The sequence below is a fragment of the Homo sapiens genome, chromosome 10 (assembly GCF_000001405.40).
Source record: "Homo sapiens chromosome 10, GRCh38.p14 Primary Assembly".
NCBI lineage: Eukaryota > Metazoa > Chordata > Mammalia > Primates > Hominidae > Homo > Homo sapiens.
Window position 1 is genome coordinate 72,171,127 of NC_000010.11, and position 23,458 is coordinate 72,194,584.

Below are 23,458 nucleotides of genomic sequence, written 5' to 3' on the forward strand. Positions count from 1 at the left end.
TTTCTTCAACTTTTCTGTGAGTTTAAAACTACTTCCTGTATAAATTCTCTATTGGTGCTATAACAAATTACCACAGACTTTGTGGCTTACAACAATACGAACTTATCCTACCATCTTCTGGAGGTCAGAAGTCTAACATGAGTCAGCAGGGCTGCATTCCTTGCGGAGGCTCCAGGGCAAATCACTTCCTTGAGCTTTCTAGCTTCTAGAGGCTACCTGAATGTCTTGGCTCAGAGTCACATCACTTCAATCTCCACTTTAATCGTCACCTCTCCTTCTCTGACTCTGACCTTCCTGATTTCCTCTTTTTTTTTTTCTCAGACGGAGTCTTGCTCTGTCGCCCAGGCTGGAGTACAATGGCAAGATACCAGCTCACTGCAACCTCCGCCTCCTGGCTTCAAGCAATTCTCCTACCTCAGCCTCCTGAGTAGCTGGGATTACAGGCACCCGCCACCATGTCCAGCTAATTTTGTAGACATGGGGTTTCACCATGTTGGCCAGGCTGATCTCGAACTCCTGACCTCAAGTGATCTGCCCACCTCGGCCTCCCAAAGTGCTGGGATTACATGCGTGAGCCACCGCGCCCAGCCCAACTCCCTTATAAAGACCCATCTCAACATCCTTAACTTTATCACATCTCAAAGTCTCTTTTGCCATAAAAGGTAATAGTCACCGGTTTTGGGATTATGATGTGAATATCTTTGGAGGGCCATTGTTCTGCCTGTCACATGCCCCCTTCCCAAAATGTTTTTTAAGGCATCTTTGGGGAAATACACTTGGGTGATAAAACTAAAGAAAACTAAGGATGTGATTACTGTAAAAGTTGGGACAGTGGTTACCCTTCAGGGGAAGAAGACAAAGGCAAGACAAGGAAGTCTAGGGTGCTGATAAGATTGTATCTCCAGCCTACACGGTGGTTATAAAAGCATCCATTTGTTCTGTATCGTCTTCTGATGTGTGTTACATTTAACAATTTTGAAGTTTTTTTAGAAAAACTCTAAGCACAAGGCTGGGTGCAGTGGCTCACGCCTGTAATCCCAGCACTTTGGGAGGCCGAGGCGGGCGGATCACGAGGTCAGGAGATCGAGACCAGCCTGGGCAACATGGTGAAACCCCGTCTCTACTAAAAATACAAAAAATTAGCCAGGCCTAGTGGTGCACAACTGTAATCCCAGCTACTTCGAGGGCTGAAGCAGGAAAATCGCTTGAACCCGGAAGGCAGAGGTTGCAGTGAGCCAAGATTGCACCACTGCACTGCTGTCTGGGCAAAAGAGCAAAACTCAGTCTCAAAAAAAAAAAAAAAAAAAAAGAAAAACTCTAAGCACAAATAAAAGAGGAAACAGTTTGTTTTTAAGCTTTTATAGATGTTGGGCTTTTTTTTCTTTTTTTCTTTTTCTTTTGTAGAAATGGGGTTGCGCTATGTTGACAAGGCTGGTCTTGAACTCCTGGCCTCAAGTGATCCGCTGGCCTCAGTCTCCCAAAGCGCTGGGATTACAGGCATGAGCCACTGCACCCAGCCCAATGTTGAGATGTTTTAAAGGTAAAATTACACTAGTTCCTCTAAAAATATATAATATATATATTATATATAATATTTTTATATTATATATATTACATATATTATATATTTTTATATTATATATTATATTTTTTATATTATATATTATATATTATATTTTTATATTATATATAATATATATTTTATATTTTTATATTATATATAATATTTTTATATTATATATATTATATATTATATTTTTATATTATATATATTATATATTATATTTTTATATTATATATTATATATTTTATATTATATATTATATTTTATATTTTTATATATGTTATATACAATATTTTTATATTATATATATATTTCTTATATTTTTTTATATATAAAATATAGTGACTAGAGAGAGAAAAATGAGGGAAAGAAATGCCCTGTCACTAGCATGCCAAATCAAGACTTAACTAGTAGAGCCAGACTCAATTCTAAAGGCCTGAAAGTGCACACAAGTACCTTTCTAGACCTGGAAATGACTAGGAAACATAAGGGGAAAATGGCCTAATGGTTTAAAATTCCCAGCTTACTATCTCAGTCACTTTGATATTCCATTGCTCTTTCTTCCTTTTTCTTTCTCTTTATTCTTCAACTTTCTCTTGCATAAATTTGCTCTAATACCCAGCTAGAAAAAGGAAGTTCTACAACTTTGCTTTCCCTGCCTTACCCTTTGGGAGCCTAGCACTCTAGTCAACTTGAGTTTACTTGCCAAGAAAACACCAAAACACCAAGTACTGGGAAACAAAACACACAGAAGGCAATGGAGCAAGACAAGGTACAGACAGGACACCTAAGGGTCACACGATCGAAAGTCCTTTTTGGAATTATGAGTCATAAGGGTTCAAATAATCCTTAACTCTACTGTAGACTATATAATTTACAAGTAACTCCACTGGACAGTCTTTTAATGAATGGAGAAACGCTCTAAATTCTGCCCTACCTCACAATGCCATCTACCAAGAGAAACTTTTCTCTTACTGAATTATCTAAATTTAATTTGGAACCAAACAACCTTCAAGGCAACGGCATAAATCTCTAGAGCCACTGTTTTTCTTTGCTCGGAATATATCATCATATTCCTGCCCCAAGCCCATTCACTGAGATGAATGAAGACCAACGAACATCAAATTCTTTACTGCAGGGGTTTAATTACACTGGGCCCTGCTCCAAGCTTGCCATTACTTGGAGCTGGAACTATCTTACTCCATTAGGTTGGCCACCCAGGCTGGCGCCTGAAAGTTCTAATGGTATTGACCTTCCACCCAGCAGGGAGAAGCAAAGAGTGAAGTAACAGGAATTTCCTGGGGCAGTTTTGTTTATGAAAATAAACATGTTTCTTTATGACTAAGTCACAACATCACTAAGCCTCAGTTTCTTTCTTGTTAAATAAGGCCTCATCCATGCATGCGAAAGCTTCCTCTAAAGAAAACTTATGTACATGCCTAAGTCACAGTTCACCGAGTTCAAGGTCATGTCCTGACTCATCAGTCCTGAGTGCATGGAGCTTAGCCCTCTCATTCAAACTGCAGCTCATGATTTACCACTAGCAGTCACCACATCATCACAGGCCCTTCACTGGCATCACTTTTAATCCAGCACCCTGGGCTCGAGTGGGGCAGAACTGCTAATAATACTATCAGTAGGAACAATTAACAAGACATAATAAAATCTACACATATCAAGCTTGGGGAAAAGGGCAGTAGACAGCAGTATGGATTGGTCCATCATGAAGCATTCTCTGCTTCCTTAAAGCTCAACCATCCTTTCCATGAGATGGGATACAACACAGGTGCAACTGCCAGAGCTGTCAGCAAGTAGAAGGGAGGCCTCTCTCCAGACATAGACCTGTAAGCTCACACTCCACTACATGCTAGTGAAGAATCTGATCCAAATGTGTAGCACCCAGAATGTAAATAATTTATAGCTCTCTGCCTTGGTGGTACATGCCAATTGCCAGAGACAAAAAATAATTCTCAAATCATATTCACATATATCATCTTTTAGGAACTCCAGGTATAACAAACGTTTGTGCCTTTAACCTGGAGTAGAGAGCCTAGGGTTCTAATTCTAACTTTGTCACAAACCAGCTGTAATTAGGCAAGTCATGTCACTTCTCTAGCCTCGGCTTCCTCCTCTGTAAAATAAGGGAGGTGGCCTGGTTTACCTGTAAGTCAAAGGACCTACAAACTTTTTACATGTTCCCACAAAACCTAAATAATTATCTGCTAACAAAATAGATTATGTGTGAGGGATCTACCAATTCACTTTCTGATATTCTATGCAAAGAAAAAGAGAAAATATGCATGCTTCCCCTATACTCGTTGTATTTTCTTTCTTTTTTTATGGCCAAATCTTGTAGAACTGTTTCTGGGCAGGTGATATGAAGTTCATTCATCTAAAGAAGTTATTCAAATAAGGCAAAGTGATGAAAAGAGCATTTGGCTGTGCAACCAGACAGGCCTATGTTCAAATTCTGCCACCTATCAGCAGCATGACCCTAGGTGAGTTACTCAGTTGCTATGAAGCTTAATTTCATCATCTATAAAACAGACAATACTTCTGTCTCAGGTTTGCTCTGCAGATGAAACACATATGAAGTCTCTGGCACACAGTAGTATGGAATAAATACAAGCTTCCCCCTCTTCCTTTTTACATGACTGTGCAGCACTAGACAAATGCCATCTTTGCTCTCCCTTTTAAAGCAGCACTGGAAGCTAAATTAGGCTCTGCTGAGTCATTTCCATTATTCTTTAAGAATGTTCAGAAAAGCTGACTTTGATTTGCAAGTCACTATGTGTTATTAACGAAATACTGTGTTAAGCTGTATAAGCTTTAGAAAAAAGGGTTTTGTTTCTCCTGGCTTATAAATTCTATTTATTCATACATAATTACAAGAAAGTGGAGAGGTTCTTAAAACGTGGACAAACATTCAAGCATGGGCTTTTATACTGACCAGAGAAAAGAACTTCTCATGCATTGTCTAAAGATCTTTACCCATTAAAGAGGAGTGAAGAGCATCTCCCCTCACTAAAGGATGCACCACCCCACTTACCTTAGATGAGCACAAAGAATCCTTCAGCCTACTCTTCTAAAAACTTCACTATTCCTCCATAGTTACTTGAAAGCACTAGTTAGCAAGGCATCTACTCAACTTACATTTATTCCCAAAGACAGACCCTGGTTCCTCTCACGTTTCTGATGGGTTAACAGCGCAAGAGAGATCTGTTGCTGCTTCTTAATGCCACTCCTTCCTTCCCCTCCATTTTGTAACCCATGGGATTACTACAAGTCTTACTTGGTACAGCAATAATTACAATTATAACAACAATAACATTCATTCGGCACTATGTGCCATGCTCTGCTCCAAACACCTTAAACTTATTAACTCATTTACTCTTCATATCAACACTGTAACATTAATACCATTATTATCCCCACTTCAGAGCAGAACTCTGAAATATCTTTGGAATATATCCCCTCCTGAATATGCCACAAACCCTATTCTTCTTTCAATAGACAGTATCGATAGCCTCCCAACTGGTACCTGCCTTGGTGCCCAACTCCTTACCTCTCAAGACATCCTCCACACTGCCTTCAATTTTTTTTCTGTGGTGCTAAGTTCATCACAGTCCTTGCTTAAAATCTTAACTAGTTTGTTTCTTTCTTTCTTTTGGAGACAGGGTCTCGCTCTGTCACCCAGGCTAGAGTGCAGTGGCACAATCATGGCTACTGTAACCTCTATCTCTGGACTCAAGCAATCCTCCTCCCACATCAGCCTCCCAAGTAGCTGGGACCTCAGGTACACACCACCATGCCTGGCTAATTTTTTTTATTTTTTGTGGACACAGAGTTTCACTATGTTGCCCAGGCTGGTTTCAAACTCCTGGACTCAAGGGATCCTCCCACCTCAGCCTCCCAAAGTGTTAAGATTACAGGTGTGAGCTACCATGCCCAGCCTTAACTATTTTCTTACTCTCTATAGGATATTACATTCAAAATCCTTAACCCACACAAGAGCTTTCACAACTTGGGTGCCATGTCATTTCCACTCTTAACTCCTACCTCTTCCTTACTCTACCTCTTTCTAAGTACCAGCCTTAACAAATTCCTCACTCTCCCCTGAATACCTCACAAGTGACATTTCCTCTGCGCAGAATGCTCCCTGCCCCCATTTGCCAGCCTGGCACAAACTCCTGTCCCTTCCAGACTGTTCAATTGTCAGCTCCCTTATCAAGCCTTCTGCAACCACTACAGAATTTCTCCTCTGGGTACACACTGCACTTATCTAGTAGCACTTATCTCACAACACGGTACCTATTTCTGGAAGAAGTCTATTTCCCACACCCTAGAGTATGGGATCCTTAAGAGTAGAGTCCATTGTTGGCACATAATATGTCCTATATGTTATATATACCTGGTATAAAGTAGACATTTAATAACTAGTGCATGAATCAATAAGACACAAAAACCTGTTCAAAACTAGTATCTCCACCGAAATGGGACAATATATGAATCTTGTAAATATTTCCTTTTCTTACTTTCCTACCCAACTTGGTAGGTTTTACAATCAGAACTTGGGGCTTTTTACAATTTTCCTTACAACCAAAGACAACTATCCCATCTTCATTCTAAATCAGTTCAAAAGATAACTACAAATCCTACAACTACCCTTAAACATGAAAAATCCTAAATTATACACTAAAGCTTTTATATAAACATTTTCTTCTTCAGTGACTAATACTAACTGGAAAAAAAATCCTGCCTGAGGGAGTTAGGGGGATGCAGACCCATTACCCATTCTGCCCAGTGTAAGCCTCCATGTTACAATATGAGCAGAATTATGTAGTTTCTGCAGCTATAACTGATTCAGGTTCTCTAGGCAGCCTGAGAAATCCCCTGTTGCTTCAGATGGATCTATAAGCCTTCAAATGTTCCACTGCACATGGTTTTGAATTACCGTTTTTCATTACTGATGTGCTTTCTACTGGACCCTGCTGTGAGATAAAGTGGAATTATAGCAGCATTACTAGCTAAAAAATGATTGAGAGATATACAAGGTTGTAATATACTTCTTGAACTTGCAGGCAATGAGACATCTTTGAATCTTAATGCAAGAGACGAAAGAATGAAAAAATAAGGTGCAGCTTATCTGCAGATCACACAGATGAAGAATACCTTGCTAATGTCTGTGAGCAGCTAAATCCTACATTAAATACTCAAGATTAGGGAACTGAAGCACAGGGATGATAGTGATAATGTCTGCAGTCAAACAATATTTCTTATATAACAGATGAACACAAAGAAAGGTGACTTCAGGGAATGCTATCCTAAAAGGTAAATTCAGTTAACATGAAGAGCCAAGGGTGAGGTCAAGGACAAGTCTGCTACCAAACAAAGAGGAAAAAGAGGCTGACTGTTTTAAAGGAAGAAAGAATTATGTTCAAGGAAGGATGATCAGAAGGATAGAATGAGACCTGAGCATAGAAAAGTTGCCTGTTGTACCAAAAATGTGACCTTCACAACAACGTTTAACAATGAAAATTAATAGCTGTGATAGAATTCTCAGACTGACCCCTAATGACCTTTTACCCTGGTATAATCCAGGTTGTAGGTGGACCCTGTGGCTGTGATAATGTATGAATCCTACAAATTATATTATGTTCTATGGTACAGCGGACTTTAAGAGAGAGAGATTATCCCAATGAGACTAATCTATACCCATGAGCTGTTTAAAAAGCAGAGTCTTTGGCTGGTGGCAGAAGTCAGATCTGACACAAGAAGGATTTGGTGAAGCCAGAGCAGTCACGTGTCAAGGAAACGGCACTTTCAGACATATAGACACAAGGATCTGAATTCTGCCAACAACCTGAATGCACATGGAAGTTGATTCTTCCCAAGAGCCTCCAGATGAGATACCAGTCTGGTCAACATCTTGATTTTGGCCTTGTGAGACCCTAAGCAGACAACCCAGTCCAGCCCACTGGGTCTTCCGACCTGCAGTACTATGAAACTACCAGAGAACTGTGAGATGATACATGGGTGTGGTTTTAGGCTGCTACGATTGTGGTAATTTTTTACACAGCAATAGAAAACTCATAAGGTAGGGTAAACTATAACCTGATATTTCAACAGAATCTTTCATATCAGAGATCCCAAAAGCACTTGACGTATTTGACATAAGCTATAAAGAAAAATAAATTTACCTTCTCAAAAAAAGAAATAAACATTAATAATATCAATTTTTTTTTTCAGAAGATGAAGAGTCTCACCTTCTTAAGTCCTGAACCAGGACTGAAGGCAGACATCTTAATGAACGTGTCCTTAGATAATATCTGATCCATATGACACTTCTTTTCAACAATTCGGGAAGAGTATATGATTTGAATAATAACCCAAGCAAAAGTGGAAAGCTCTGCTGCTTGTTTTTGTTGTTGTTGTTGTTGTTTCCTGAGACAGGATCTTGCCTTGTTGTCCAGGCTGGCTAATTTTTGTATGTTTTGTAGACACAAGTTTTGGTTGCCCAGGCTGATCTCAAACTCTTGGGTTCAACTGATTCACCTGCCTTGGCCTCCCAAAGTGATGGGATTACAGGTGTGAGCCACTGCGCCCGGCCTGCTGCTCTTTTTTAAACCCTCAAATACTGTCCAAATTATTACCGAATTCCAGTCAAGGCTGTTCTCACTTGAAAATGCCTGCTGAAAGATTGGTATAGTTGGTTAGCAGTTGGTCAGTTGATTAGCAAGCAACCATCAAAATGTCTTCAATTGTTTAACAGGATATTTTTTTCCCATTCAAATAACTTTTCCTCAGTGACCCCTAGGACTGTCAACTATTTGTTCTATTGGATTAGAGCAGATGCTAGATCCTACGCAACTTCGTATCACTGCTCTACTTAACACTGTGGCATCCACTAGCTGTGGCACCTTAGGCAAGTTACTCTCTCTAAGCTTCCATTCCTTCATCAGTGAAATGAGATATAAATACCTACCTCATAGGGAGGGACTGAAGATTAAACAAAATGAACATAGGAGACATTTAGAACACTGTCTAGCAAAATACAAAGCTCAATACATATTTGCTATTTTATACATCACTCAATTATCAATTGAGTGAATAAAAACAGTGGGACACTCAGGCTAATTTACAATATTATAGATTACTAGCAGAAAAAAAATGCATGAACAGCAGCTTTATTCATAATATCCCATAAGTGGAAACAATCCAAATGTTCCAGTGGTGAAACTCAACTATTTTTAAAAAAACATAAAAATACTAATGACAGAAAAGAAAAATACTTTAAAAGAACCGGCCGGGTACGGTGGCTCACACCTGTAATCTCGGCATTTTAGGAGGCCAAGGCAGGTGGATCACTTGAGGTCAGGAGTTTGAAACCAGCCTGGCCAACATGGTGAAACCCCATCTCTACTAAAAATATACAAAAATTAGCCAGGCATGTTGGCACATGCCTATAATTCCAGCTAACCAGGAGGCTGAGGCATAAGAACTGCTTGAACCCAGGGAGCAGAGGTTGCAGTAAGCCAAGGTTGTGCCACTGCACTCCAGCCTGGGCAACAGAGCGAGACCCCGTCTTAAAAAGAAAAAAAGAAAAAAAAAAGAACCAAATGGAACTTCAAGAGATAAAAAAATAAAAGAGCTACCCAGGCACGGTGGATCACACCTGTAATCCCAGCACTTTGGTAGGCCTAGGCAGGCAGATCACTTGAGGCCAGGAGTTCAGGACCAGTCTTACAAATATGGTGAAACCTTGTCTCTACTAAAAATACAAAAATTAGCCAAGTGTGGTGGTGTGTGCCTGTAATCCCAGCTACTCAGGTGGCTGAGGCACAAGAATCACTTGAACTCAGGAGGCGGAGGTTGCAGTGAGCCAAGATCGCACCACTGCATTCCAGCCTGAGCAACAGAATGAGACTCTGTCTCAAAAAATATATAAAAATCAAAAATCAAAATTGATAATTCCATCAAATGGGATTAACAAAAGATTAGACACTTCAAAAAAAAAAATCAGTGAACTTGAAGACACATCTATAGAAACTATACAACCTGAAGCAGCCTGGGTGAGGGGATCAGTCATACCCAAACCTCAGCATTATAAAATATACCCATGTAACAAGCCTATACATGTACCTCCTGAATCTAAAATAGAAGCTGATTCCAAAGAATTGAGTTCAGTTCAAGGCAGCTTCCCTGTTCTGTTAACGAAACTTTGGGACATTGAAATGGGCTACGGGAGATGATTGGTTCAAAAGCATTATTCTATTCATTTGCCTTTTTTTTTGGAGACAGAGTCTCACTCTGTCACCAGGCTAGAGTGCGGTGGCACGATCTTGGCTCACTGCAACCTCCACCTCCCTGGTTCAAGCAATTCTCCTGCCTCAGCTTCCCGAGTAGCTGGGACTACAGGCACGCACCACCACGCCCAGCTAATTTTTGTATTTTTAGTGGAGACAGGGTTTTACCACGTTGGCCAGGATGGTCTCGATCTCTTGACCTTGTGATCCACCTGCCTCAGCCTCCCAAAGTGCTGGGATTACAGGTGTGAGCCACCGCGCCCGGCCTATTTGCCTCTCATCTTACAAAAATGCCTGCTTGAGTCTAATATATCAACAGTTAAAGATGCCTAGAAGAGATGGGACTGAAGAGGCTGAAGACTTACTGAGCTTGGACTAACAGACAAGTTACATTCAGTTTTAGGAAGTCTGGTCTGATGAACTAAGATAAAAAGAAACTGAATTATTTTCATACATGGTTGCTTTTCAGAAATAAAAACAAAATAGAAGCTGAAATTTAAAAAACAAACAGATTTTAACATTATAAAATTGGAAAAACAAAAATTTTGAACAATAAAGGAATATTTAATTTTTTTCTTTTTTTTTCATGAACCATACATGAGACTTAAGGAATATTTAACTATTTTTGGAAAACTGAAGCAGAGAAAAAAAAACGTCTGGACAGAATCTCAGTAACTTGTGCACCAATATCAAGTGATTTTTTTTTTCTGAGATGGTCTCACTCTGTTGCCCAGGCTGGAGTGCAGTGGCACCATCTCAGCTCATTGCAACCTTCACCTCCCGGGTTCAAGCGATTCTTGTGCCTCAGCCTCCCGAGTACCTGGGATTATAAACGTGTGCCACCACACCCAGCTAATTTTTGTATTTTTAGTAGAGATGGGGTTTCACCATGTTGGCCAGGGTGGTCTCAAACTCCTGACCTCAAGCGATCCACTCACCTCAGCCTCCCAAAGTGCTGGGATTACAGGTGTGAGCCACCGCACCCGGCCTCCAGTATTCTGATACACATGTAATCAGGGTTCCAGAAGGAGATGAGAAAAAAAGGAAAGAAAAGACATTCGAGGAAATAATGACTGAAAATTATACAAAACTGGAGTGAAACAGCAAGAAAGGAGACTAGGAAGTTCTAGGCCCTCATTCCCCCATGGACATATCAAATAACAACATACAGACCAAAGTAGCTTAGGAAGAACCCTAAAAACCAGTTAAGAAGTTGCAGGAACCAAACATACACCTAACCATGAAAAGGTCACACTTCAAAGTGGTAGAAAACTTTGTGCCATTTTCATTCATCCTTGCCCCACTCAATCTGTCCCACCTTGTCCCACCACTGGGAAGAAGCTACCCAATTTCCAGCTCTTCCCTCAGGATGGAGCAAAAATAGAACTAGCTTCAATGTTCTGGCTTGTGTGGGGCTGCCTGAGGGACTGGTTGCTGTCTCACCTGACTTGGAGGGCTAATGGGAATGGTGGCATAGTCTGGATATCAGGATGGAGGCCATTGAAAGCAGTGGCAGGTGCCACGGCAGGGTTGTTTAACAACAACAAAAAAAGGCTAGATACTATATGGGATAAATATATATAAGGAAAAAAGTCTAAAGAGGACTGTATTATTTTTCAATTAAGTCAATAATATAAAATTCAGAAAGGGTATGAAAATGTTCCTGCTAAAAGAGGTTGAAGAGACATAAAAACTTAAGCTGGGTATGGTGGCTCACATCTATAATTCCAACATTTTGGGAGGCTGAGGCCAGAGGATCACTTGAGGCCAGGAGCTTGAGACCAACCTGGTCAACATAGCAACACCCTGTCTCTAAAAGAAAAAAAAAAAAAGAGAGAGAGAGACAAAAAACTAAATGCAATGCCTGACCTTACCCTGGATCTTGTACTGAGGGGGGAAAATATAAAGGACAGTATCAGATCATATGCCATTAAAGCTTATACTTTCTTATGGTATATTCCTTATACTATCTTTATACAAATTTTTCTACATTGAAATTATTTCCAATAAAAAAAAAAGGCTGCCAGATAAGAATGACAAAAAATTTCTTTTTTTTTTTTTTTTGAGACAGAGTCTCACTCTGTTGCCCAGGCTGGAGTGCAGTGGTGCAATCTCAGCTCACTGCAACCTCCACCTCCTAAGTTCAAGCGATCCTCCCTGCCTCCGCCTCCTGAGTAGCTGGGATTACGGGCACCCGCCACCATACAGGGCTAATTTTTGTATTTTTGTAGAGATGGGGTTTCCCCATGTTGGCCAGCCTTGTCTGGAACTCCCGACCTCAGGTGATCCACCCACCTCAGCCTCCCAAAGTACTGGGATGACAGGTGTGAGCCACTGAGCCCAGGCAACAACAAATTTCTTATTAGAAACTATACCTGGCCAGGTATAGTGGTTCACACCTGCCATCCCAGCACTTTGGGAGGCTGAAGCAGTTGGATTGCTTGAGCCCAGAGAAGTTTGAGACCAGCCTGGGCAACACAGCAAAGGCCCATCTCTACAAAAATTAGCTGGGCATGATGGTACAGACTTATAGTACCAGCTACTCGGGAGGCTGAGGCAGGAAGATTGCTTGAGCCCCAGAGGTGGAGGTTGCAGTAAGCTGAGATTGCACCACTGCACTTCAGCCTGAGTATCTGAGTGAGACCATGTCTCAAAAAAAATGTTTTTCAATAAAAAATAAAATAAAGAAACTATAAATGCCAGAAGACAGTAGAATTATATGTTCACAGTCCTAGAAGAATAAACTACTTAGAATTCTATAATCAGTAAAAATCTTTCAAAAAAGAAGGTGAATTAAAAAATTTTTCAAACAAATAAAAGCTGAGAGAAATTATTTCCCACAGATCTGAACTATAAGAAATGTTAGGCTGGGCACAGTGGCTCATGCCTGTAATCCCAGCACTTTGGGAGGCTGAGGAGGGCAGATCGCCTGAGGTCAGGAGTTGGAGACCAGCCTGGCCAACATGGTGAAACCCCATCTCTACTAAAAATATAAAAATTAGCCAAGTGTGGTGGCATGCACCTGCAGTACCAGCTACTCGGGAGGCTGAGACAGGAGAATCGCTTGAACCGGGGAGGCGGAGGTTGCAGTGAGCCGAGACTGCACCACTGCACTCCAGCCTGGGTAACAGAGCCAGACTCCATCTCAAAAAATAAATAAATAAATAAAACCCTCAATCCAAAAAAAAAAGCGGTACAAAGAAGAGATGAACAGAAACAAACAAAAAAGAACAAAGAAGACCAAAAAAAAAATAAAGAAGAGACAGAAAGAAACAAAAAATAAGATGGTAGATTTAAACTCACCCATAGCTAGAATTACATTAAACGTAAATGTTCTATCTACTCCAGTTAAAAGGTAGAGATGTCAGACTGCAATTTAAAAATAAGAAACAATACCTAACTATATGCTGTCTAAAAAGAAACCTGTTTTGAATATAAAGATACAAATATGTTAAAAGTAAAAGGATAGAAATAGATATATAGTGTAAACACTAATCAAAAGAAGGTTAGAATGGTTATATTAACATCAAAAAAGTAGACCAGAACAAGGAACATTATCAGGAATAGAGAAAGATATTTCATAACTATAAAAGGATCTTATCAAGAAGGTGTGGAAAAAACTGGTAGAACTGAAAAGAGAAATAGATGAATCCACAGTTACAGGTGGAGATTTCAACACTCCTCTCTCCGCAACTAAAAGAACAAGTAGATACAAAATCAGTATGGATACAGAGGTTGCAGTGAGCCAAGATCACGGCACTTCAGCCTGGGTGACACAGCAAGACTCTATCTCAAAAAAAAAAAAAAAATTTATAACACAATAGTAAGAAACAAAAAAAATTTTAAATAAGCAATATCACGCACTTTTTAAAAAAAGGTTAAAATGGTAAATTTTATGTTATGTATATTTCACCATAAAAAGAAAAGCTAAAATACCATCAACAACAACAAAAATAGACAAAATATTTGAACAGGTACTTCACAAAGGCAGATACACAAATGGCCAATGAGCACATGAAAAGATGCTTCGCAGTATCAGCCATGAGGGAAATGTATATAAAAACCACAATGAGCTACCATGATGAGATGCCTACTAGAGAGGGTTAAATTAAAATAAGATAGACACCACTAAGTGTTGGTAAGAATGTGGAGCAACCTAAACTCTCACACATCATTTGTAGCAGTGTAAAAGGGCACAACCACCTTGGGAAAAGATCTGACAGTTTCCTATTAAACTAAACATACACTTGCACATAATCCAACAATTACACTATTAAGTATTTACCCAAGAGGTATAAAAACATATACTGAACACAAAGATTTCTGCACAAATTTATAATAGCCAAAGACTAGAAACCATCCAAACATCTATCAGAGTTGAATAGATAAAGAAATCTCCAGCTATAAACAATCCAAACATCTATCAGGGTTGAATGGATAAAGTGGTACATTCATGCAAAGAAATACCACTCAACAATAAAAAGCAGCAAACTCCTATAACACACATGACTGACTCCCAAAAATATTAATATTGAACCAAAAAAAGTCACACAAAAGACTATATATCATATAATTCCATTCATTTAAAATTCTAGAAAAGGGAAACCTAATAGCAACACAAAATAGATTAGTGGTTGCCTGGAATCAGTGGTAGGAGGTGAGGGGATGGAGTGGGGATCAACTGCAGAGGAAAGAAATATTTGAGGGTGACATAAATATTCAATATCTTGTTTGTGATGGTTGTTACACTGGTGTATACCTTCATCAAAACTCATCAAGCCATATTCTTAAAACAAGTGCATTATAATGTTGTATATAAAGTATAACTCATTAAAACTGACTTTTAAAACAGAATGGAAAAAACTATGAAAAAATTTAAAGTTTGCATTCCCTTAACCCATGTTATTCTACCTCTTAGAATTTATCCCAAAGAAACCAGGAGTCAAACAGAAAGATGCATGTACAGATGCTCACTGCAGTGTTATTTAATAAAAATAATTTCCTCTAATGTTCCATCAATAGAGGATTGATTAAATAAACTAAGGTACATTCACAGAATACTTCACAGCAATTAAAAATGGGAGTTAGCTTCTAATGTATGGACCTGAAATATCATACGTATTAATTAAAAAAGTAATATAATATAAAATATAAAAGAATATAACTGTTTTTGTTTTTTTTTTGTAGAGACAATGTCTTACTACATTGCCCAGGCTGAACTCCTGGGCTTAAGCTATCCTCCCTGACTCAGCCTCCTGAGTAGCTGGGGTGCCCACCACTGCACCTGGAGAATAAACATATATTACAAATATATATGTGTATTCAAAAAATTTATGAGCCAGGAGATTTTGTACCAAGAGATGCTATCTTTTTCTTATGCTATTAAGCAAGGGAATGTTGAGATCATCCCTATTTTAGAGATGAGGAAACTCTCAGAGATGACAAATGAGTTTCAGAGGAGCCAAAAGAACTGAAAATCCCACAGTCTCTCAGAAAACAACTGCTATCTCAGTGAACAGGTATTTGCTCTTCAAATCTTGTAGAAGAGAACTCACATAAATTGAGGTAATAAATGCAGAGTACTACTGGAAAGTGCCTACAGGCTTTCATAGCCATCTTCGTGTCATTCTAACATCAGAATGAAACTTACTAAAAATCTCTTCCATATAATCTAGATAATGGTCCCTTACTGATTTCCTCTTTAATGCTGTGCTTATTTCCAGCTGTTATCAGGGCCGAATTTGAAGACAGAAAAGAGACTATGTTAATACGCAGTCTCCCTGAAAGCAGGAAGGAAGTCCTTTGGACTGATTAAGGCCAGCATGACGTTCACAGCGAACAAGCTCATTCTGGCGAAATCAAAGCAGTAATTCCAGTGTTTGTTCCCTGTCAGCCATGTCAGCAGCCAAAAAAAAAAAAAAGGAAGAAAGCGGATGCACATGCACATGCCCAGAAAAAAAAAAAAAAAAGACTAACTTATTACACATCTGCTTGTCTTATACCTGGTATTTGTATCCTTCCAAAGAATATATACAATGACTGAGCTTCAACTAGTTTGCATTTACCAGTTAAAATAATTTCAAAACTTAGCCCCTACTCCCCAAAACAGTACTGGGCTATACTGAAACCTCAGCGTTCCTGATCTCCTACCCCACCCTCCATTCCCACTAAGAACGAAGTCATCTTGTTATGAAATGTTAAGGAGAAAAATGATTTTCTGATGGTTCAGTGATATTAACATCCACATATATGTATTTTCCTCATAGATATGGCCTTATTTAAGTACATAAATGCAAAGTTAGTCACTTAAAAACTAGTTTTACAAGGCCGGGCACAGTGGCTCACGCCTGTAATCCCAGCACTTTGGGAGGCCGAGGCGGGTGGATCACAAGGTCAGGAGATCGAGACCATGACGGCTAACACAGTGAAACCCCTTCTCTTAGGCCGGGCGCGGTGGCTCACGCCTGTAATCCCAGCACTTTGGGAGGCTGGGCCAGGCGGATCACGAGGTCAGGAGATAGAGACCATCCTGGCTAACACGGTGAAACCCTGTCTCTACTAAAAATACAAAAAATTAGCCGGGCACAGTGGCGAGCGCCTGTAGTCCCAGCTACTCGGGAAGCTGAGACAGGAGAATGGCGAGAACCCGGGAGACGGAGCTTGCAGTGAGCCGAGATCACGCCACTGCACTCCAGCCTGGGTGACAGAGCGAGAATCCGTCTCAAAAAAAAAAAAAAAAAAAAAAACTGGTTTTACAAATACAAAAATCAACCAGGTGTGGCTGATTAAACTTATTAAAACTGACTTTTTACAGTTAGAGGTGGTGGGCATCTGTAGTCCCAGCTACTCGAGAGGCTAAGGCAGGAGAATCGCTTGAACCCAGGAGGCAGAGCCTGCAGTGAGCCGAGATCAAACCACTGCACTTCAGCCTGGGTGACAGAGTGAGAGTCTGTCTCAAAAAAAAGAAAAAAAAAATTGGTTTTACAATTCTACACTAAGCTCAGGCCATCTCTTGTATGTGCCCAATCTGAATCTATTCACCTACATAGCCCTCTTCATAAATAAGCAATTTTACTAATTCTCACCCCATACACCACAAAAGTACTTGGTTTCTAATACTTCTTCTTTTTTTTTTTTTTTTTTTTTGAGACAGTCTCGCTCTGTCAGGCTGGAGTGCAGTGGCATGATTGTGGCTCACTGCAGCCTCTACCTTCTGGGTTCAAGCGATTCTCCTGCCTCAGCCTCCCAAGTAGTTGGGTTTACAGGTGCACACCACCACGCCCAGCTAATTTTTGTATTTTTAGTAGAGATGGGGTTTCACTATTTTGGCCAGGCTGGTCTCGAACTCCTGACCTCAAGTGATCCACCCACCTCGGCCTCCCAAAGTGCTGGGATTACAGGCATGAGCCACCACGCCCGACCTGGTTTCTAATACTTCTAACACTGCATATCCATCTCTCACTGTATTCTAACACCTAAGACTACCTTTAGCAATATGAACCTGATCGAAAAAAGGAAAAGAAAAGGAAAAGGAGAAAGGGAAAGGGAAGGGAAGTAAGGAAGGAAAGAAAGAAGAAAAGATCTTGTAAAAGTTTTCACCCAAAACATTTTCACTTTGCCACAACTTTCAAAGCTACCCTTTATCTACTCTTCACACTCCAAATAATACTAACAACTTTAACTCGCAGTAAAGTATAGCAGGAGTAGCAACTACCATTTATTAAATGCTTATTATGTATCAAGTACCATGCTGAGTTCTTTATGTCATCTCATATATTTATTTTGAGACAGGGTCTCACTCTGTCACCCAGGCTAGTAGTGCACAATCATGGCTCACTACAGGCTTGACCTCCTGGGCTTAAGCATCCTCCCACCTCAGCCTCCCGAGTAGTTAAAACTACAGATATGTGCCACCACTGCGAGCTAATTTTTTATCTGCTGTAGAGACAGGGTCTCCCTAAATTGCCCAGGGCAGTCTTGAACTCCTGGGCTCAAGCAATCCTCCAGCCTCGGCCTCCCAAAGTGCTGAGATTAGAAGGCCTAAGCTACCTCATCCAGCGTGTCTCTCATTTAATCCTTCCTACAACCCTCCCAAGTAGGCTATAAAGATTTGGAGAAGTTAGGCCAGGCGCAGTGGCTCACGGCTGTAATACCAGCCCTTTGGGAGGCCGAGGCGGGCGGATCATGAAGTCAGGAGATCGAGACCATTCTGGCTAACACGGTGAAACCCCATCTCTACTAAAAATACAAAAAAAAAAAAAATTAGCCGGGCGGGGTGGCGGGCGCCTGTGGTCCCAGCTACTCGGGAGGCTGAGGCAGGAGAATGGCGCAAACCTGGGAGGCAGAGCTTGCAGTAAGCAGAGATCGAGCCACTGCACTCTAGCCTGGGCAACAGAGCAAGACTCCATCTCAAAAAAAAATAAAAATAAAAAAATATTTGGAGAAGTTCATTTGTCCAAGTCCACATAGACTGAAGAACTCAAAATCAGAACTAAGTCCATCTGTCTGAAGAACCAAAGATACTGTTCGGGTGGGGTGGCTCACACCTGTAATCCTAGCACTTTGGGAGGCCAAGACAGGTGGATCACCTGAGGTCAGGAGTTTGAGACCAGCCTGACCAATATGGAGAAACCCCATCTCTATTAAAACTACAAAATTAGCTGGGCATGGTGGCGCATGCCTGTAATCCCAGCTACTTGAGAGGTTGAGGCAGGAGAATCGCTTGAATCTGGGAGGCGGAGGTTGCAGTGAGCCGAGATCGCACCACTGCATTCCTGCCTGGGCAACAAGAGCGAAACTCCATCTCAAAAAAAAAAAAAAAAAAAAAGAACCAAAGACATGAACCATTGTTCTATTTTATTCCAAATGCTTTTATTTCTGTCTTCACTATAAGATTAAGAAAGTACAGCCTTTCTGTCTGGCGGCAGCCATCAGGTAAGCCAAGACAAGTGCACACAAGTATATCCAGGAGCTACGGAGAAAGAAACAGTCTGATGTCATGTGCTTTCTTCTGAGGGTCCACTGCTGGCAGTACCGCCAGCTCTCTGCCCTCCACAGTGCTCCCCACCCCACCCAGCCTGATAAAGCGCAGCAACTGGGCTGCAAGACCAAGCAAGGTTACATTATATATAGGATTCATGTTCGCTGTGGTGGCCGAAAACACCCAGTTCCTAAGGGTGCAACTTACGGCAAGCCTGTCCATCATGGTGTTAACTAGCTAAAGTTTGCCTGAAGCCTTCAATCTGTTGCAGAGGAATGAGCTGGATGTCACTGTGGAGTTCTGAGAGTCCTGAATTTATATTTAGATCTATGACTTAAATATTGGATTGGTGAAGATTCCACATACAAATTTTTTGAGGTTATCCTCATTGATCCAGTCCATAAAGCTATCAGAAGAAATCCTGACACCCAGTGGATCACCAAACCAGTCCACAACCACAGGGAGATGCGTGGGCTGACATCTGCAGGCCGAAAGAGCCGTGGCCTTGGAAAGGGCCATAAGTTCCACCACACTATTGGTGGTTCTCGCAGGGCAGCTTGGAGAAGGCGCAATACTCTCCAGCTCCACCATTATCGCTAATATAAGTAAAGTTTGTAAAATTCATACCTAATAAACAATTTAAGACAGTCATGTGTGCTTACAGGTGTTATTTGTCTGTTAAAGCTAGTCTGCAAATTATTTAATGAATGCTTTGTCAAATTAAGACAGTTAAAGTGAAGGCCGGGCACGGTGGCTCACGCCTGTAATCCCAGCACTTTGGGAAGCCGAGGAAGACAGATCACGAGGTCAAGAGATCGAGACCATCCTGGCCAACATGGTGAAACCCCATCTCTATTAAAAATATAAAAATTCGCTGGGCGTGGTGGCAGGTGCCTGTAGTCCCAGCTACTCTATAGGCTGAGGCAGGAGAATCGCTTGAACCCGGGAGGCGGAGGTTGCCGTGAGCCAAGATCGCGCCATTGCACTCCAGCCTTGGCGACAGAGCGAGACGCCGTCTCAAAAAAAAAAAAAAAAGGAAGTTAAAGTGCAATAATGTTTGAAGACAGTAAGCGGTGGTGTATCTTGTTTCTTTTTTTTTGAGACAGAGTCTCGCTCTGTCGCCCAGGCTGGAGTGCAGTGGCGCGATCTCGGCTCACTGCTACCTCCGCCTCCCAGGTTCAAGCGATTCTCCTGCCTCAGCCTCCCGAGTAGCTGGGATTACAGGCGCCCGCCACCATGCCCAGCTAATTTTTTTTTTTTTTGTATTTTTAGTAGAGACGAGGTTTCACCATGTTGGTCAGGCTGGTCTCAAACCCCTGACCTCGTGATCCACCCACCTCGGCCTCCCAAAGTGCTGGGATTACAGGCATGAGCCACCGCGCCTGGCTGTTGTATCTTGTTTCTAATAAGATAAACATTTTTGTCTTTGCTTTATCTTATTAGGGAGTTATATATCAGTGTATAAAACATACTATGTGGTATAATAGGTTTAAAATAAATTCTTTAAAAGAAAAAAAAAGTATAGCATGGACATACATATGTAAAAAAATGAACCATGACCTAAATATTGCATCTCGTACAAAAAAATTACTGAATCATAGATCTAAATATAAAAAACCAAAACCATAAACATTCTAAAAAGAAAACCTTCATATTTGAGGGTTAGGAAAAAAAATTTTCTTTTTTTTTGAGATGGAATTTCACTGGTTGCCCAGGCTACAGTACAATGGCGTGATCTCGGCTCACTGCAACCTCCGCCTCCCAGGTTCAAGCAATTCTCCTGCCTCAGCCTCCCTAGTAGCTGGGATTACAGGTGCCCGCCACCATGCCCAGCTAATTTTTTGTATTTTTAGTAGAGACGGGGCTTCACCACGCTGGCCAGGCTGGTCTCGAACTCCTGACCTCAAGTGATCCACCCACCTCGGCCTCCCAAAGTGCTAGGATCACAGGCATGAACCACCACGCCGGCCAGGAAAAGATTTTTTAGACATAACATTAAGAGTACAACCCATAAAAAAAAAATAAACTAGACTTTATCAAAATTTAAAACTTTTGCTCTACAAAAGACACGAATAAGAGAATGAAAAGACAAGCTACAGATTAGGAGAAAATATCTGCAAATCACATATCCTCAAAAGGACTTGTATCAACAATATACATAAAGAACCCTAAAAACTCAATGATAAGGAAACAATCTGGCAGGGCACAGTGGCTCACGCCTGTAATCCCAGCACTTTGGGAGGCTGAGGCAGGTGGATCACGAGGTCAGGAGTTCAAGACCGGCCTGGCCAATATGGTGAAACCCCATCTCCACTAAAGATACAAAAAATTAGCCGGGCATGGTGATGCATGCCTGTAATCCCAGCTACTTGGGAAGCTGTGCCAGAAGAATCGCTTGAAGCCAGGAGGCGAAGGTTGCAGTGAGCCAAGATCGAGCCATAGAACTCCAGCCTGAGTGACAGGGCGAGACTCCGTCTCAAAAAAAAAAAAAAAGAAAGAAAGAAGAAAAGAGAACAACCCAATTGTTGTTGTTTGTTGAGACAGTCTCACTTTGTCACCCATGCTGGAGTGCAGTGGCACCATCTTGGCTCACTGCAACCTCCATCTCCTGGGATCCAGTGATTCTCGTGCCTCAGCCTCCCGAGTAGCTGGGATTACAGATGTACACCACCGTGCCTGGCTAATTTTTGTATTTTTAGTAGAGATCGGATTTCACCCTGTTGGCAAGGCTCGTCTCAAACTCCTGGCCTCAAGTGATCCACCCACCTCCATCTCCCAAAGTGCTGGGATCACAGGCATGGGGCACTGCCCCCCGCCAAACAACCCAATTGTAAAACAGGCAAAAGACATGAACAGACACCTTACCAAAGATAATATAAGGATGGCAAAAAAAGCACATGAAAAAATGTTCAACATCATTAGCCATTAAAGAAATGTAAATCAAAACCACAATAAGATGTCACTACACAGCTATTAGAATAGCAAAAATAACAAATAGTGATAATATCAAATGCTAGTGAGGATGGAGAACAACTGGAATTCTCATAAATTGCTGTTGGGAATGCAAAACAGTACATGCATTCTGAAAAACAGTTTGGCAGTGTTTTATAAAGTTAAATATACACCTACCATACATCACAGCAACCCCATTCCTGGGTATTTTACTGTAAAGAAATGAAAACTTAGGTTCGCACAAAAACCCATACACAAATGTTTACAGCAGTTCTAATCATAGTTGCCAAAAACTGCAAAAACCCAAGTGTCCTCCAATGGGTGAATGGAGAAACAAATTGTAGCATATCCATAAAGTAGAATATTACCCAGAAATAGTAAGGAACAAACTCCTGAGACACACACAACTTGGATGAATCTCAAAAGCACTATGTTGAGTGAAAGAAGCCAGTTACCTACTGTATGATTCCATCTATATGACATTCTCAAAAAGACAAAACTACAAATAATAAACAAAACACACACACACACACACACACACACACACACACCACACACACACATGATAAAACTACGGTGAAGAAGAGCTCAGTGATTGCCAGGGGTTGTGGGTGAGCAAGAGGTGACTATAAAGGGAGAGCATGAGGGAGTTTTTGGGGTGGAACTATTCTGTATCCTAATTGTTGTGGTAGTTACAGAAATCTAAACATGTTTTAGAATTCATAGACATGTATACCCCAAAAAAGTCCATTTTAATTATAATAATGTTGAAGATAAAATTGAAAAAATTTAATTCTTCAGAGGATAATTGGCTAAATAGGGGTTTAAAAAGTTAAAGTCTTACCTCTTACTGTATATCAAAACATATTCTAAATTAACTAAAAAGCTAAATGTAAATTATGAAATAATACTGATTTTTTTTTTTTTTTTTGAGACATCACTGTCGCCCAGGTTGGAGCGCAGTGGTGCGATCTCTGCTCACCGCAAGCTCCACCTCCCGGATTCACGTCACTCTCCTGCCTCAGCCTCACGAGTAACTGGGGCTACAGGTGCCCGCCACCACACCCGGCTAATTTTTTTTTTTTTTGTATTTTTAGTAGAGACGGGGTTTCACCATGTTAGCCAGGATGGTCTCAATCTAGAGACGGGGTTTCACCATGTTAGCCAGGATGGTCTTCATCTCCTGACCTCGTGATCTGCCCGCCTCAGCCTCCCAAAGTGCTGGGATTACGGGCATGAGCCCCTGCACCTGGCCTGATGTTCTTAATATATATGATGCTCCTACAAATAAATTTTTAAAAAGAACACTCCCAAAGAAAAATGGGCCAAGACATGAATAAACAAAATACAGGAAAATGCTTTATCTCACAAATAATTGAATAAATAAACAGTAAAGCAATGACACAGTATTTTTTGTCAACTGAAATACAAAAAAAAAAAAACCAAAAACCTTAAAAGAATGATAACATCCAGTACTGGCAAAAGTGGGAAAGGAAACCTAAAGAAAACTCTAGTTTGGAGCATAAAGTGCTATAAGATTTCCTGAAGGTAATCTGGATGTCTATACATGTTGAAAAATTCATACATCCACATATACTGTTTTTTCACTTCTAGTGAAAAAACAGTATATGTAAAATAAACAGTATAAGTAAAATA

General features: G+C 40.7%; 1 protein-coding gene, 1 non-coding gene and 1 pseudogene across 39 annotated transcripts in view, besides 1 other annotated feature; 2 read left to right on the top strand and 1 right to left on the bottom strand.

Moving 5' to 3' along the window:
• ASCC1 (activating signal cointegrator 1 complex subunit 1) overlaps positions 1 to 23,458 on the bottom strand; it is a 121,103-nt gene that overhangs the window by 75,095 nt on the left and 22,550 nt on the right. The window lies entirely within an intron of this gene.
• On the top strand, positions 9,732 to 9,863 carry LOC124902572 (small nucleolar RNA SNORA36 family). Its single transcript, XR_007062402.1, has one exon. It is a non-coding gene; the product is annotated as a small nucleolar RNA SNORA36 family (small nucleolar RNA).
• Positions 18,772 to 19,587, top strand: RPL15P14 (ribosomal protein L15 pseudogene 14; annotated as a pseudogene).
• Positions 19,241 to 19,411: a silencer, noted in NCBI's record as "fragment chr10:73950125-73950295 (GRCh37/hg19 assembly coordinates)". NCBI's record gives its function as "represses an EF-1alpha promoter that drives an FKBP-Casp9 reporter gene in an ReSE screen in HepG2 liver carcinoma cells {active_cell/tissue: HepG2}" and the evidence as "EXISTENCE:reporter gene assay evidence [ECO:0000049][PMID:32094911]".